The following is a 13,754-nucleotide window of genomic DNA, read 5'->3' on the forward strand; positions in this document are numbered from 1 at the left end:
GTGTCTTGGGGTTGCTCTTCTCAAGGAGTATCTTTGTGATGTTCTCTGTATTTCCTGAACTTGAATGTTGTCCTGTCTTACTAGGTTGGGGAAGTTCTCCTGGAGAATATTCTGAAGAGTGTTTTCCAACTTGGTTCCATTCTCCTGGTCACTTTCAGGTACACCAATCAAATGTAGACTTGGTCTTTTCACATAGTCCCATATTTCTTGGAGGCTTTGTCCATTTCTTTTCACTCTTTTTTCTCTAATCTTGTCTTCTCATTTTATTTCATTAATTTGATCTTCAATCACTGATACCCTTTCTTCCACTTGATCAAATCAGCTATTGAAGCTTGTGCACGTGTCATGAAGTTCTTATGCCATGGTTTTCAGCTCCAACAGGTCATTTAAGGTCTTCTCTACACTGTTTATTCTAGTTAGCCATTCATCTAACCTTTTTTCAAGGTTTTCAGCTTTATTGTGATGGGTTAGAACATGCTCCTTTAGCTCGGAGAAGTTTGTTATTACCAACCTTCTGAAGCCTACTTCTGTCGACTGGTCAAAGTCATTCTCCATCCAGCTTTGTTGTGTTGCTGGTGAGGAGCTGCAATCCTTTGGAGAAGAATAGGTGCTCTGGTTTTTGGACTTTTCAGCTTTTCTCCTCTGGTTTCTCCCCATCTTTGTGGTTTTATCTACCTTTCATCTTTGATGTTGGTGACGTACAGGTGGAGTTTTGGTGTAGATGTCCTTTTTGTTGATGTTGATGCTATTCCTGTTTGTTAGTTTTCCTTCTAACACATTCCCTTAGCTGCAGGTCTGTTGGAGTTTACTGGAGGTCCACTCCAGACCCTGTTTGCCTGGGTACCACCAGCAGAGGCTGCAGAACAGCAAATATTGCAGAACAGCAGATATTGCTGTCTGAATCTTCCTCTGGAAGCTTTGTCCCAGAGGGGCACCCACCTGTATGAGGTGTCTGTTGGCTCCTACTGGGAGGTGTCTCCCAGTTAGGCTACATGGGGGTTAGGGACCCATTTGAGCAGGTAGTCCGTCTGTTCTCAGAGCTCAAATGCCATGCTGGGAGAATCACCACTCTCTTCAGAGCTGTCAGACAGGGACATTTAAATCTGCAGAAGTTTCTGCTGCCTTTGGTTCAGCTATGCCCTGCCCACAGATGTGGAGTCTATAGAGGCAGTAGGCCTTGCTGAATTGCGGTGGGATCTGCCCAGTCTGAGCTTCCCGGCCGCTTTGTTTACCTACTCAGGCCTCAGCAATGGCAGATGCCCCTCCCCCAGCCAGGCTGCAGCCTTGCAGGTTGATCTCAGACTGCTGTGCTAACAATTAGCAAGGCTCTGTGGGAGTGGGACTCACCAAGCCAGGCAGAGGAGAGAATTTCCTGGTCTGCCGCTTGCTAAGACCACCGTAAAAGTGCAGTATTTGGGCAGAAGTGTGCCGTTTTTCCAGGTACACTCTGTCACGGCTTCCCTTGGCTAGGAAAGGGACATCCCCCTACCCTTTGTGCTTCCCAGGTGAGGTGACGCCCTGCCATGCTTTGGCTCGCCCTCTGTGGGCTGCACCCACTGTCCAACCAGTCCCAGTGAGATGAACCAGGTAACGCAGTTGGACATGCAGAAATCACCCATCTTCTGTGTTGAACATGCTGGGAGCTGCAGACTGGAGCAGTTCCTATTCGGCCATCTTGGAACAGAACCCCAATTTCTTTTTATATGGTTTTCTTTAACAATTTTAGCATATTTAAGACAGTTTTATTTAAAGTTTTTGTCAAGTAAGTCCAATGTCTGTGCTTCATCAGGGATAGAAATCAGATTCTTTCTAATTTCTCCAATTAATGGGCCATATTTTCTTATTTCTTTGTATTCTTTATAAATTTTTGTTGAAAACTAGACATTTTGAATATTACAATGTGTTAACTATAGAAATCAGGTTCTTTCTATTCCTCATGTTGGATCTGTAGTTTTCTGAGAGTTGTGATTATTTATCCAGTGACTTATCTGTACTGTTTTTGTATGGTTTATATTCTTTGTTATGTATGGTTTCAGGAATCTCTGTTCTTTTTGCCTGTGGTTAACTAGTGTTTTTAAGAGATTTTCCTGAAGTCCTGGGGAAAAAAAAGAAGAAGAAGGACAAAACAAGATAAAAGAAAGAAAAAATAATAAGGAAAAAAATTCTTCCAGGCTTTATAGATTGGCTCTGTGTTGGGGCAATGCTTCAATGGTTGGCCAGGCCTTCACAATGCTTCCTTATATTTCACTTCTTGCTTGCTCTGAGACTAAATTTCAGCCAGAGGTGAAGGTCTTCTCGGGTCTCTTCTGAGCATCCTTTTTCCCTGGGAATGTATGTGGCTTTACAGACTCCACAGTATACTGGCACTTTTCAATGCCCTAATTTTCCCCAAATAACTCTTTCCACATTTTTCCCCCAGGTTTTTAGAGTCTCTATTATTTGTGTCAACTGAACTCTCTCACCCCAGATGGCATGAAGTTTTTTCATTTGATTTATAATGTTATTGAGGAATGTACTCTGCTCAGCCATTTTTCTGCCCTAAGAGACTTCTGAGTTGCACAAAACAAAGGTGAATACCTTGAGTCTGTCCTCCAGGAAGCTACACGACAGGACAAAACTACCAAACAAAGTAATAATATTTATGTTTAAGAATAAGTTCTACTACTCTGCCCTTTCCGGAACCAGGAACCAGGGTCTTTTATTGAGAATGCAGTCTGCTGGCTTCAAAACTGTCATTGAGTCGGGGTAGGTGGGAGGCAAGGGCAAGTAAAAATAATGCAAAGCTTTTGTGCTTTTTTTAAGTTGGCTTTTTCTAGAATCAGCATTTGCTAGGTTGCTGTAAAACAAGAAACCATATGTTTTAATACATTTTTTTAAAGAGTTCTGTGACACAGTTATAATAATTAAAAGGGCAACTGTTTCCTTAGTTTCTCCTAATTTTCCTTTACCTAAACTTTGTCTTTACATTATCGTATGTTCCATTCACTCTCAAATGTACCTATTGTTCTTACCCACCAGCTCATACATAAGTATCTCCTCCAGTCCTGATCTTTTTCCTGAGCTTCATATTCATACCATCAACAAATGAACACAAAATGACCAAGATTCAACTCATAGCATACCACCTGTAATCTACACATCTGGCCATTGTCTGGATTGTGTCTAAGGTTTAGCCTCCACTCCTAATACTTCCTGCTTTGTACATCCGCATAATGAAAACTAAACTTTACTCTTGTCTCAATACATTTGTTTTTATTTCATCATGCTGAAATTTTATCTGTTTATCTCATCCAATATACTATAAGCCATTCATATGTGATTACCCAGTACCTAACTCAATATTCAATATTGATAATAAATATTGATGAACTGTATTAACTAATGAAAATTGTAATACTCCAGTCATATCCATAGGTGGCAGTAAGCTCCTAAAATTATGAGGAAAGTGGTCTGTGTCTAAACATAATTAATCACAGAAGTTAAAATGTTAAAATGACCTGGTTTAACTTATATTTTGGTCTTTTCATGCATACCAACTGCATAAGCTTTCACTTTTCAGAAATATTAAGCAAGGAGAAGAGAATACAATCTATTAAACTAGGAGCTCTTTGAAATGTTTTTCTACCTTAATTGCTCAGTTTTCAGACTCACCTATGACACTTCCTCACTCCTTTCAGCCTTCTCATTTGAGTATAAACTCAGTGCCAATTTTATCTAGAAGAAACTGATATGAAGAGTTTTCAGCCAACATTTAAAGCAAAATACAAGTTCAGTTTAAATAATTTGAATTTCTATTTTTCCTAATTCTTTGGATATTCTATAACAAGTGTACAAAGCAATATGAGATTTTTAAAGATGATCTTGTTTTGATAATGAACAAGTTATTTTAATATAAATTCAGCAGTTTCCTCTGGAATCCATTTTGCTACAATACTACAAGTATGCCTATATAGATATACCCTGTAAGTAACAACTAGTTTATAAAATGAAATGTCACATCACCAAATTATCTGAGACCGTATTTTTCCACTTAAGTTATCAAATAACAATAAGACATCCATATTCCATCTGGGTTTACTAATTTATCAAGGCCTACTGAAAATTCCTATTTCTGAAAAAAATCTTCCTATGTACTTTAAAATTAATATTCTCTGGACTTCAAAATTATTTTCCAAACAATGGGCTTTGTTATCTACTCACAGATGCATTCTGGGATTAGTGTATGAGTTGCAGATGATTTTCCTCATAAAAGATTTTATATGTAGCCTCTGGATCTGGCTTCTATATATTTGTTTGGTAGTTCCTGAGCAAATCTGTGAAGTTGGTTTAATATATTTTTGGTATCTTAACTCTTTATCTTGACAAGGGACACTCTGCCTACCCCATATGTTTTATTCAATCATGCTATATTGCTTTTCCTTAAGTATACCTTAATTAATTTCTAAGAAGTTATTTATTATACCACTAATGTATCATATCATAATCAAGAATAATTTAAAATCAATAACAAAAATGAACACAAGATTTCTATGGCTCTTATTTCCCATATGTATTAGTCTGTTTTCACAGTGCTATAAGGAACTACCTGAGAATGGGTAATTTATAAAGAAAAAAGGGGCCTGGTGGAGTGGCTCACGCCTGTAATCCCAACACTTTGGGAGGCCAAGGCGGGTGGATCACCTGAAGTTAGCGGTTCAAGACCAGCCTGGCCAACATAAATCCCATCTCTACCAAAAATACAAAAAATTAGTGGGGCATGGTGGTGGACACCTGTAATCTCAGCTACTCTGGAGGCTGAGTCAGGAGAATCTCTTGGACCAGGGAGGCGGAGGTTGCAGTGAGCTGAGATCACACCATTGCACGGAAGCCTGGGCAACAGGAGCAAAACTCCATCTCAAAAGAAAAAAAAAAAAGAAAGAAAAAAGGTTTAATTGACTCACAGATCCACATGGCTGGGGAGGCCTCAGGAAACTAACAGTCGTGGTGGAAGGTGAAAGGAAAGCAAGGCATGTCTTACATGGTGGCAGGAGAGACAGAGAGTGCAGGGGGAACTGCCAAACACTTTTAAGCCATCAGATCTCATGAGAACTCACTCACTATCATGAGAACAGCAAGGGGAAAACTGCCTCCATGATCCAATAACCTCCCACCAGGTCCCTCCTTCAACATGTGGAGATTACAATTCAAGATGAGATTTGGGTGGGGACACAGAGCCAAACCATATCACCGGGTAACCAATTATTGCCACAAGATATAATTTACCTTCTATTCTCAGATGCTGATTTACCAAGGAAGGTGATCACACTTCCCAAAACACTCTCTTGTCACCTTAGGCCTCAGGGAAGAAAGATAGGAGGAGGAAATACATATTAATGTTGCAACAATAGGATCTCTTTTCCTCTGCCTCTATGACAGGTTTCAGAAATGGAAGACAGAGAACACTTTATACAAACACATGTGGTTAATAATGGTCTATATACTGGTGATTGCAAAATCTTGTTCAGTGCTAACCACTACCCTGAGTCAAGACCTATAGATCCAAATGCTCATTGAGCAGCTGCCTCCTAAACCTCAGGAAACCAATGTGTTCCCTCAGGACTTCTATACCATTCACACACCCACTTCAACATTTCTCTTCATGATCTCCTGTTTCAGAAATCATTCCTTTATTTCCACTGAAACAGAAGCCTGGAAGACATCTTTGACCCTCTCTACTTCATCCCTGTAGCCATTCAGCTTTTAAAACGTGTCCTTTTCCCTAATATCACTGCAGTCTATTCACTTTTTTGCCTTCTCTGACAATACATTATCGTATATGACTATTGCATCTCACCAGGCTGATGAGGACACTAACTCGCCTTCTTCTCTTTATTTGTGCTCTCTCACCTCTTTAAGCTCTTTCAGTGGCTCCACAGGTAACCTACAGGAGTCTACAGCGTTAGCTACTCTTTAACCTTATTTCTCTTTAAGTCTCCTACTCCAATACAACCCTCCAGTCACAGTAAACAACTTGAGATTATGGACACTGACCAATCCCTCTTGTACTTCCTCACAATATTGGATCTCTGGTCTCAAGTATTTCTCTTCTTCACCTTTACCTGGCTTTCTCCTATCTAAGCTTAAGCCTCAGCTGTAACACCTTATTCTCCTTAGAATTTTCTTAACCTACTAAGAAGGATTCTCACAGCAACTGTCCTTAACATTCTCACAGCTCTTTTACCCACTGCATTAAAAATCCCCCTTTTCCTGTCTAATCCACCGAACTGTGAGGTCTGTGAAGATGACTGTTTCTGAGTCAACGTTATCCTCAGGGTTGGCTGAATGCCTGAGACACCATTGATACTCAACACAAACTTGCCTGATTTAATTGAATCTAGCAAAACTATGAATTTTACTTATGTGGAATGATAGGTCCGTGTCCTCAGCGGACAAAATTATTCAGCAGATTCAAAAGGGAGCTAGGAATAAAGTCCAGGCCAGAGCTCCAGCAGTCAGAGCTGCCTGTGTGGCACCAGCTGCGAGACCTGGCTTCAGATGCATGAGGGCGCCAAACTGCCTGCTAAAAAGCGGAACTGCTTTGTCCTCTCAGTTAAATTGTTCCCTTCAAATACTTACTAAACAAAGAGAAAATCTAGTTAATACATATGATCTTTCCAAATTGGCTCTAATTGCCTCTAGGCACTGTTAGGCATAGAAAATTTTCTATAGTTAAATGCATTTTCAAGAGTCTGGTTGTTTCAAGTCACGGTGTAGTTTATTCCAGACTACACTTTCTCATCATTGCACTATTTCAGTAATACCACCTGGTCATGTAAAATCTCAATTATGGTTTCAGTAGTAGTGGAAAAATTAATTCTATTAAAATGCTTAGATGATCTAATTCTGAAGGGTTCAGTTAGAGCTTAAGTATACATGAATATATGAAGAAGAGTTGAAGTAAATATGAAGGTATGATATTTTGTGGGAATAAAACAACATTTTAAAGTCACTTTCCTATAATAATCTATAAAATTTGTGCTAATTAAATCTTAATAAGTTTGCTATGATATGGGTGGGGAGTACTGAACATGCCAGATTGTTAAACATATCAAAAATATGAAAGAAATATTTCAAAATAATGGAGGGTAGCTATTCCCATGAGCTTATAAATCATATTAGAAAGCAATAATTACTTTAAAATTAGGTGTAAATAGCCTTAAATACATAGGGGAATTTGGAAAGCAAGAAATAAAACTTCTCGAATAATTGGAAACATGAGTTATCTCATAAACTATATTGGGATAAATGGCTAAACATTTGAGAAGGAAATAATGCTGAATTTCTAATTTATTTCTTACACAAAACAGAGCAAGATCAAAACCTCAAATACAAAAAAGTAAAATAATAAAAATAACACAAAGAAATTTTTTTAATTGTTAGATTCAGAAGATCTTTCCAAGTCAAAAATTAAGCCCGAGCCAGGCACGGTTGGTCACACATATAATCCCAAAACTTTGGGAGGTTGAGGTGGGAGGCTTGCTTGAGGCCAAGAGTTCCAAGACTAGCCAAGGCAACACAGTGAAACCTCATCTCCTCAAAAATCAAAACAAAACAAAAAATTAGCCAAGTGTGATGGTGCACACCTGTAGTTCCAGCTGTTTAGGAGGGTGAGGTAAATATTCCAGGCTTGAGCCTGGAAGTTGAGGCTGCAGTGAGCTGAGACTGTGCCACTGCACTTTAACCTGGACATCAAAGTGAGACCCTGTCTAAAAAATAAAGAAATAAAATGAAGTCCAAAGTCCAAAAGAGAATATTGTCACAGTGCAAAATTTGGAAACATTTAAATATCAAACAACATCATAAATAATATTACAAAGGTCAGAAAGAAAAAACAAAATAAGAAACAAACGCTTGCAAAATGTCTATTCCCCAAAATTCACCTATGAATTTAGAGCTAATCTAATAAAAATACTAGTAAGTTCAACTGAGGATGTATTTATAGTTTATTTTTTTGTTTGTTATTTGTGTGTGTGTTGTGTATTATTTTACCTCAATGCCAATCAGTATTGAGGTAAAAATGAAGTTACTTTAATAGATGGCTTATTGCAATTCATAGCATATAGAAACTGTTTCTAATGTTTTAGATGTCTCCACCTGGTCATGTAAAACTTCAATTATGGTTTAAACAGTAGTGGGTCAGTTAATTAAATTAAAATACAATACTTACATGATTTAATTTTAATAAGTTCCCGGAATTGATATTATATATTTAAAAATTAGATTAAAGCTATCTATATTTTGGAAACTATTTTAGGAATTAAAATAATATAAAATTTCAAATGTACCATCAAGTAACATATTCAACTAAAAGACATGAGTCAGAATTATTTTAAAGAGAGAAAACACATCAGATGTCCTGTTCTACCTGTGGATGTTCAGGGGTTTGCTGCTTTAAACCTAAATCAAACCTGCACATCTCCCTGCTTCCCTGAGCCCTCACAGCTCACCCCTCCTACTGCCTTGGGGTTTTGAGGATGCAGGGGATGCCCTGACCCTCTAGGGCCACTGCCCTGGGCTGCATACAGAAGAGTACGCTCTAAGAGGTCACCTGCAAAAAGCTGGATTTCAGACTCTAACTCAGCCATTTTTGCTTATTATGATCATTTGACTTTCTTAGATCATTGAGCTTTCTCTCAGTTGACAGAGTTGCCAAGCAACTCTCTTGAGCTATTTTTTCAACCTTGATGAAGGAAATGATGTTTTCCAATTGTTTCTCTAAGTCTTTGGCCATCATTCTGTAGAAGTCAATGTTTAGATATTTGCATATACCTCGGGACGTTTCTATTTCTAAGCAGTTAATTCCCTTCTCTATTGATTTTCTGCAAAGTTGCATTTCATGTTCTTGATGTAGTTCAAGCAGTGTCTGGTGCTTTAGCTAAAGCTTTTGAATCTAGCTTTCAAACTGTGTATTGTCAACACTGTGTTTACTGTGCTTAGAGAATTTTGACTGGAACTACAAGTGCTTCCTACATTTGATTTTATTCACATAACCTTTTAAATATTCTTTTTTTTGTCTCAAGTTTTTTTAAAAGGAAATATTTAACAGTATTGATGAGTTTCTTCCTGTTGGCTTGAGACTGATACTCTTGGTCTTCATTTTCTGACGTACTGTTTTAGTCTGGTTCCTTTTGTCTCATTCATATAATCTTCTCTTCACACTTTAGCACAGTTTAGACAGAGATTTTAACTAGCTCTACTTATCATTTACAACCTGTTCTCTTATGTGCTAAAGTTTGCAAGCATTTCTTTCTGCTCCTTCAGTTCTTACACTCTTTCTTGTCATTCACATGCAGGGAACAAGCACCTTTAGGCTTTCCTATAACTGTACATTTTTATCAAAGTTATAGTTATGCCCTTCTGATGTTGTTCTGCATACAGGCTTCGGAGATGCATATATTGTTGGCCTCAATCACGGAACTGGTAGAATTCTGATGTCTCTTTGAGTGACTATATCTGTCCTTGAAAATGAGCCATCATCACTCTATTAAATGACATTTTAGAGGCCTTTCCCGCTTGTTCTTTGTCAAGGTCTACTGTATCTTCCAGTGAAAATGTGGACCTGGTTCACATCTTTATTAAGTGCTGACAAACACAAAATTTCAAAAGTTCAGAGGACTAGTCTCCATTGCAGGTGACTTGAGGGCTTCAAAGGCATGTATATTCGGTCTAATCTTTAAACCGACATGATTGTATTCTTCAACTTGGGCAGAAAATCTTTTAGCTAGCTCGCATTCCTTCAATGTACATCAGCAATATACTATAAAAACAACCAAAGTTGCATATACCAAGATTTTCAAGGGAAGATTAATCCAGACAACATCATCAGAACACTGCAGATGCTCCAGGACTAGCCAGAAGGACATTTTTCTGGTGATGGCAGGTTCTCCATGGCTCTGTGTGGGCACTGCAGCTCTGCCTCTGACCAACAACTGGTGAACCATAACTGCCTGTCTGGAATATTGTTAGCGTTCTACCTCAAACCAAGCCAAGTACCTGGCATCAGCACCAACCATCAGTGGAGTTGAAATTAAAAAGAAGCTTGTGTTATAAACTAGTGCTCATGAATTTTGGTCCAGTTACTGCCAAAATAGAAAGGGTTATTATTTGTATAGTACATTGTGTGGATGGAAAGAGCTGAATACCGCTAGAACAGATTAAACAGATTAGCCCGTGAGCTGTGACCAGAGGCTACACCTGATCCTACAGAACCCAAGAGATCCAGTCAGCACCATGTCACAACCCATGCTCCATACATGAGCTTTTCAAGATATAATTGTAGGGCAGACTGCAGTAGTGGATTCATGTGCCCATGTCCCTGGGTAAGGCTCTTTCTTCTCTGGATTTTGAAAGTTCCTTCTACAAGATGTAGATGCCTCATCCATCCTGTTTACTAAGATCATAGCAATTTCCCTCCTCTGGGAGGAATCACCTTCCTTCCTTTGTGTTTTGCCAGACACTGAGGAATGAAAGCCTTCAGCAAAAGTATTACCTTGCTTGGGTTTCAATTGTAAGAATTTGGGAGAAATCAGCCAGACCTGAAATGTCTTCACATTTCATGGATTTCCAGTGTTGCCAACTTGTCTCGGTACAATCCAGCAGTTCAGAGTGCGGGAGACTCTATTACGTGTGACCTAGTGACTCAAGATCCTTCCATCATTTGAATCTATCATCTTCAGCAATGGCTGTGTGAATCTCAGAGTGACCTGGGGATAGTTTCCGAACCACCTAGCCATCTTCAGATTTGGGGCTGCATTTGGGGAGGGAGCAATTTTATTTTCTTTCTTTCAGTCACAGTCCCCAGTCCCTTTTGGCCTACACTTGAGACTTTGCTATAAACAACTCCATTCACTTTTTTGCCACGAACAACTCCATTCTGCTTTTTCCTTGGAAAGAAAAGGGCTCTTCTTTTGTTTGTAATACACTTTATATTTTAAATCCATAACTATTTTAAAAAATTAAAAAACAAAAACATTGTTCAGGCCAAAGAAACAGCACTATAAGACAACTGCCAATCAGCAACTTCTGCTGAAGAGGTTCTAGATGAGGGAATGGAGGATCAGAAATCTTCATGACTTCAGTAAGTCTGGCATAGTTTCTGTGACCTCAGTGTCCAAATGATAGTTCAATAATACAGCGATTTCTGATTTGAGATGTCTGATCTGATTGTGCAGAAATTAAGAGCTTAGACTTGATGGCTGGGAGGACCTTTCCAGAGTCTTAGTTGTAGGTCCCAATGTGTCTTTGCTCCCTTATTTCTAACATAAGGGTATAAATATATATGTCTTAGGGTTATGGTGAGGGTGAAATGGGATAGCGAATGAAAACCACTATCCCCATTCCTGCATGTAGTAATCACTTGATAAATTGAGCTATTACTAAATTTTAGATAGGAATGAAAATTTAAATGTGAGCTAGTGGGAAAAGAAAGTACAGGCCTAATCAGCTTCATTGGATAAGCATGACTAGGCACTGCATGCTTTTCTCCATGGGCCTAAAGAAGAAACCTCTCCAGTTTTATAGCATGAATCAGAAATATGTGCTTCGGCATTATTTTGCAATAAATACAAATAAACAAACAAGCCCATGGATTTACATAGATCTTTCAAAAGAGGGGTGGAATAAGACTGTAGCTCTTGTTAACAACATTGTTAACACTGAACATCCAAGTGCACAAGTCATACAGGAGAGTGTCTTTGTCAGTTGACAAGTGAAACATTACACATCTCGGTTCATCCAGAAAGTTTGATGTTTGCCTCATGTAGTAGAAACTGCAGAGGTGGGCTCCCCATAGATGAAGCCTGACAAGGATTAGTTGGAAGGGACAGTGCCCCTATCATCCCTGCCCACACATCCTTAACTGTCTTATCTCCAGTGCTTGATTGTCCATGAAAATGACCGTGATTCTCAGAAGGTGTTCCTGCTACCTTCGGTCTCAGTGAGAAAGGTGGGAGGGAGAAGACTTTAATGTTGCAACAGCAGCATCCTTCTTTCTCTGCAGCATTCACAGGATTTTAGAAATGAAAGGAGCAACTTGACTCTATCCAACTTGTGTAATCAGTCACCACTTATATGATGATGTTTCCAGAGCTCTCAGCTCAAACCTCTCTCCTAACTTCATACTTGTAGATTGAAATTCTTATTGAAGAGCTGCCCCCTGGTCTCTCAGACCACAATATGTCCAACCCTGGGCATATGTCCAACCCTGCACCATTCACACACCTGCTTGAAAAACTTCCCTTCATAATTTTCTATTGCAGGAATAATTCCCTCATTTCTCTTAAACTGGAAATCTTCAAGTCATCCTTGCCTCTTTTCATTGCAGCTCTCACTGTCTGGCAGTCCCCAAAACCTCTGTGCTCCCTTAACATCATTCAATTCCATTCATTTTCTTCCCTTCTGATACTGCATGATTAGGCCACCATAGCCTCTCATCTAGTTTACAAACAGTCTAAATTATTTTCTTGCTTTTGCCCACATTCCTGTTGAAAAGCTGCTAATTCATCCCCATTGCCCTTTGCATAAGCCCCATGCCCAAAAACTACAAGACTCTTCAGAGTGGTCCCATCTCCATTTTTGTCATTTTTTCCCACAAGAATATACCACTTTTCCCACACTCAACAACTTTCAGTTATCTAATCTGGTCAAGCTCTTCCTCATATTTTTATATAGTGCTTCCCAGGCCAGAAGGCTTTCTGTTCCTTACCTTTTACCTGACTATCACCTACTCAGGCTTAACTCTCGGCTGACATATTAGTTTTTCCAGTGTTTTCTTGACCCACCAACAAGGACTCCCATAGCACCATATACCTAACATTTTCAGCTCTTACCTCTAACGACTGCATGAAAATTCCCCATTTCCCCGTGTCTTTACTCCACTGAATAATGAGAGGTCCTTGAAGATAAAGATTATGTTTAGTCAAGATGTTATTCCCAGGGAATGGCTCAGTAACTGAGTCATTGATGACCCTAAAAAAAAAATTGGTCTGATAAAGTTGAATCTGCTAAAACTCTGAATTGTGTTGATAAGGAATACAAAGGTGTGAATGGATACAGTTATTCAGTAGGTTGTAGTGGAGTTAGAAATAAGGCCCATGATTGGTCCTAGTAGATAGAGTTGCTTCTGCAACCCCCTAAGCTGAGAGACCAAGCTTAAAAACTCAGCCACTTTGTTCTCCAATTTTTTCTCTCAAATGTTTAAAACAAACAAGAGTTGGTAGTGATGAATACATTTATGAAATAGATTTTGGTCATGGTTTCACAAATGTATACATACCTCCAAATTAATCAAGTCATATACATTTTTTTAAAATCCAGCTTTTTGCCTGCTAATCATAAGTCATACATCAACAAAATGGCTTTGAAAAAGGAGAAAAGCTAAGTTGATATACAGTTATTGCCAAATGGCTCTATCAATTAAAAAATAATAATTAAACAAGTTCCCAAGAATTTGTCTATTGTTTTTCAACTCACACTACAATCTATTGCATATTAAACTTGCTTAGCAGGACACAACTCAGTGGTATTATGTCTATACTACAGAATATCAGATGCTAAAAAGGTACTATAGACCATCCACCTTAATCCATTCACTTGACAGTTTAGAGAATTGTGATTCATTCATACTTCTTTCTGTAACTACAATGTATTGCACTGTGAGGTCAAATGTATCAGATGTCCTCATACTGCTGTTTCTTTGTTTATCCTATTTCTTCTTC

General features: G+C 38.6%; 1 long non-coding RNA gene and 1 pseudogene across 1 annotated transcript; both read right to left on the reverse strand.

The window, feature by feature from the left end:
• Positions 1-2,591: 2,591 nt before the first annotated feature.
• On the reverse strand, positions 2,592-12,995 carry LOC105375155 (uncharacterized). Its single transcript, XR_927036.2, has 3 exons — positions 12,867-12,995; positions 3,652-3,724; positions 2,592-2,836 (listed from the first exon to the last, which is right to left on the reverse strand). It is a non-coding gene; the product is annotated as an uncharacterized LOC105375155 (long non-coding RNA).
• LOC100419641 (CTAGE family member 5, ER export factor) lies at positions 8,615-9,606 on the reverse strand (annotated as a pseudogene).
• Positions 12,996-13,754: the final 759 nt, after the last annotated feature.

This window comes from Homo sapiens, chromosome 7, assembly GCF_000001405.40.
Source record: "Homo sapiens chromosome 7, GRCh38.p14 Primary Assembly".
Lineage (NCBI taxonomy): Eukaryota > Metazoa > Chordata > Mammalia > Primates > Hominidae > Homo > Homo sapiens.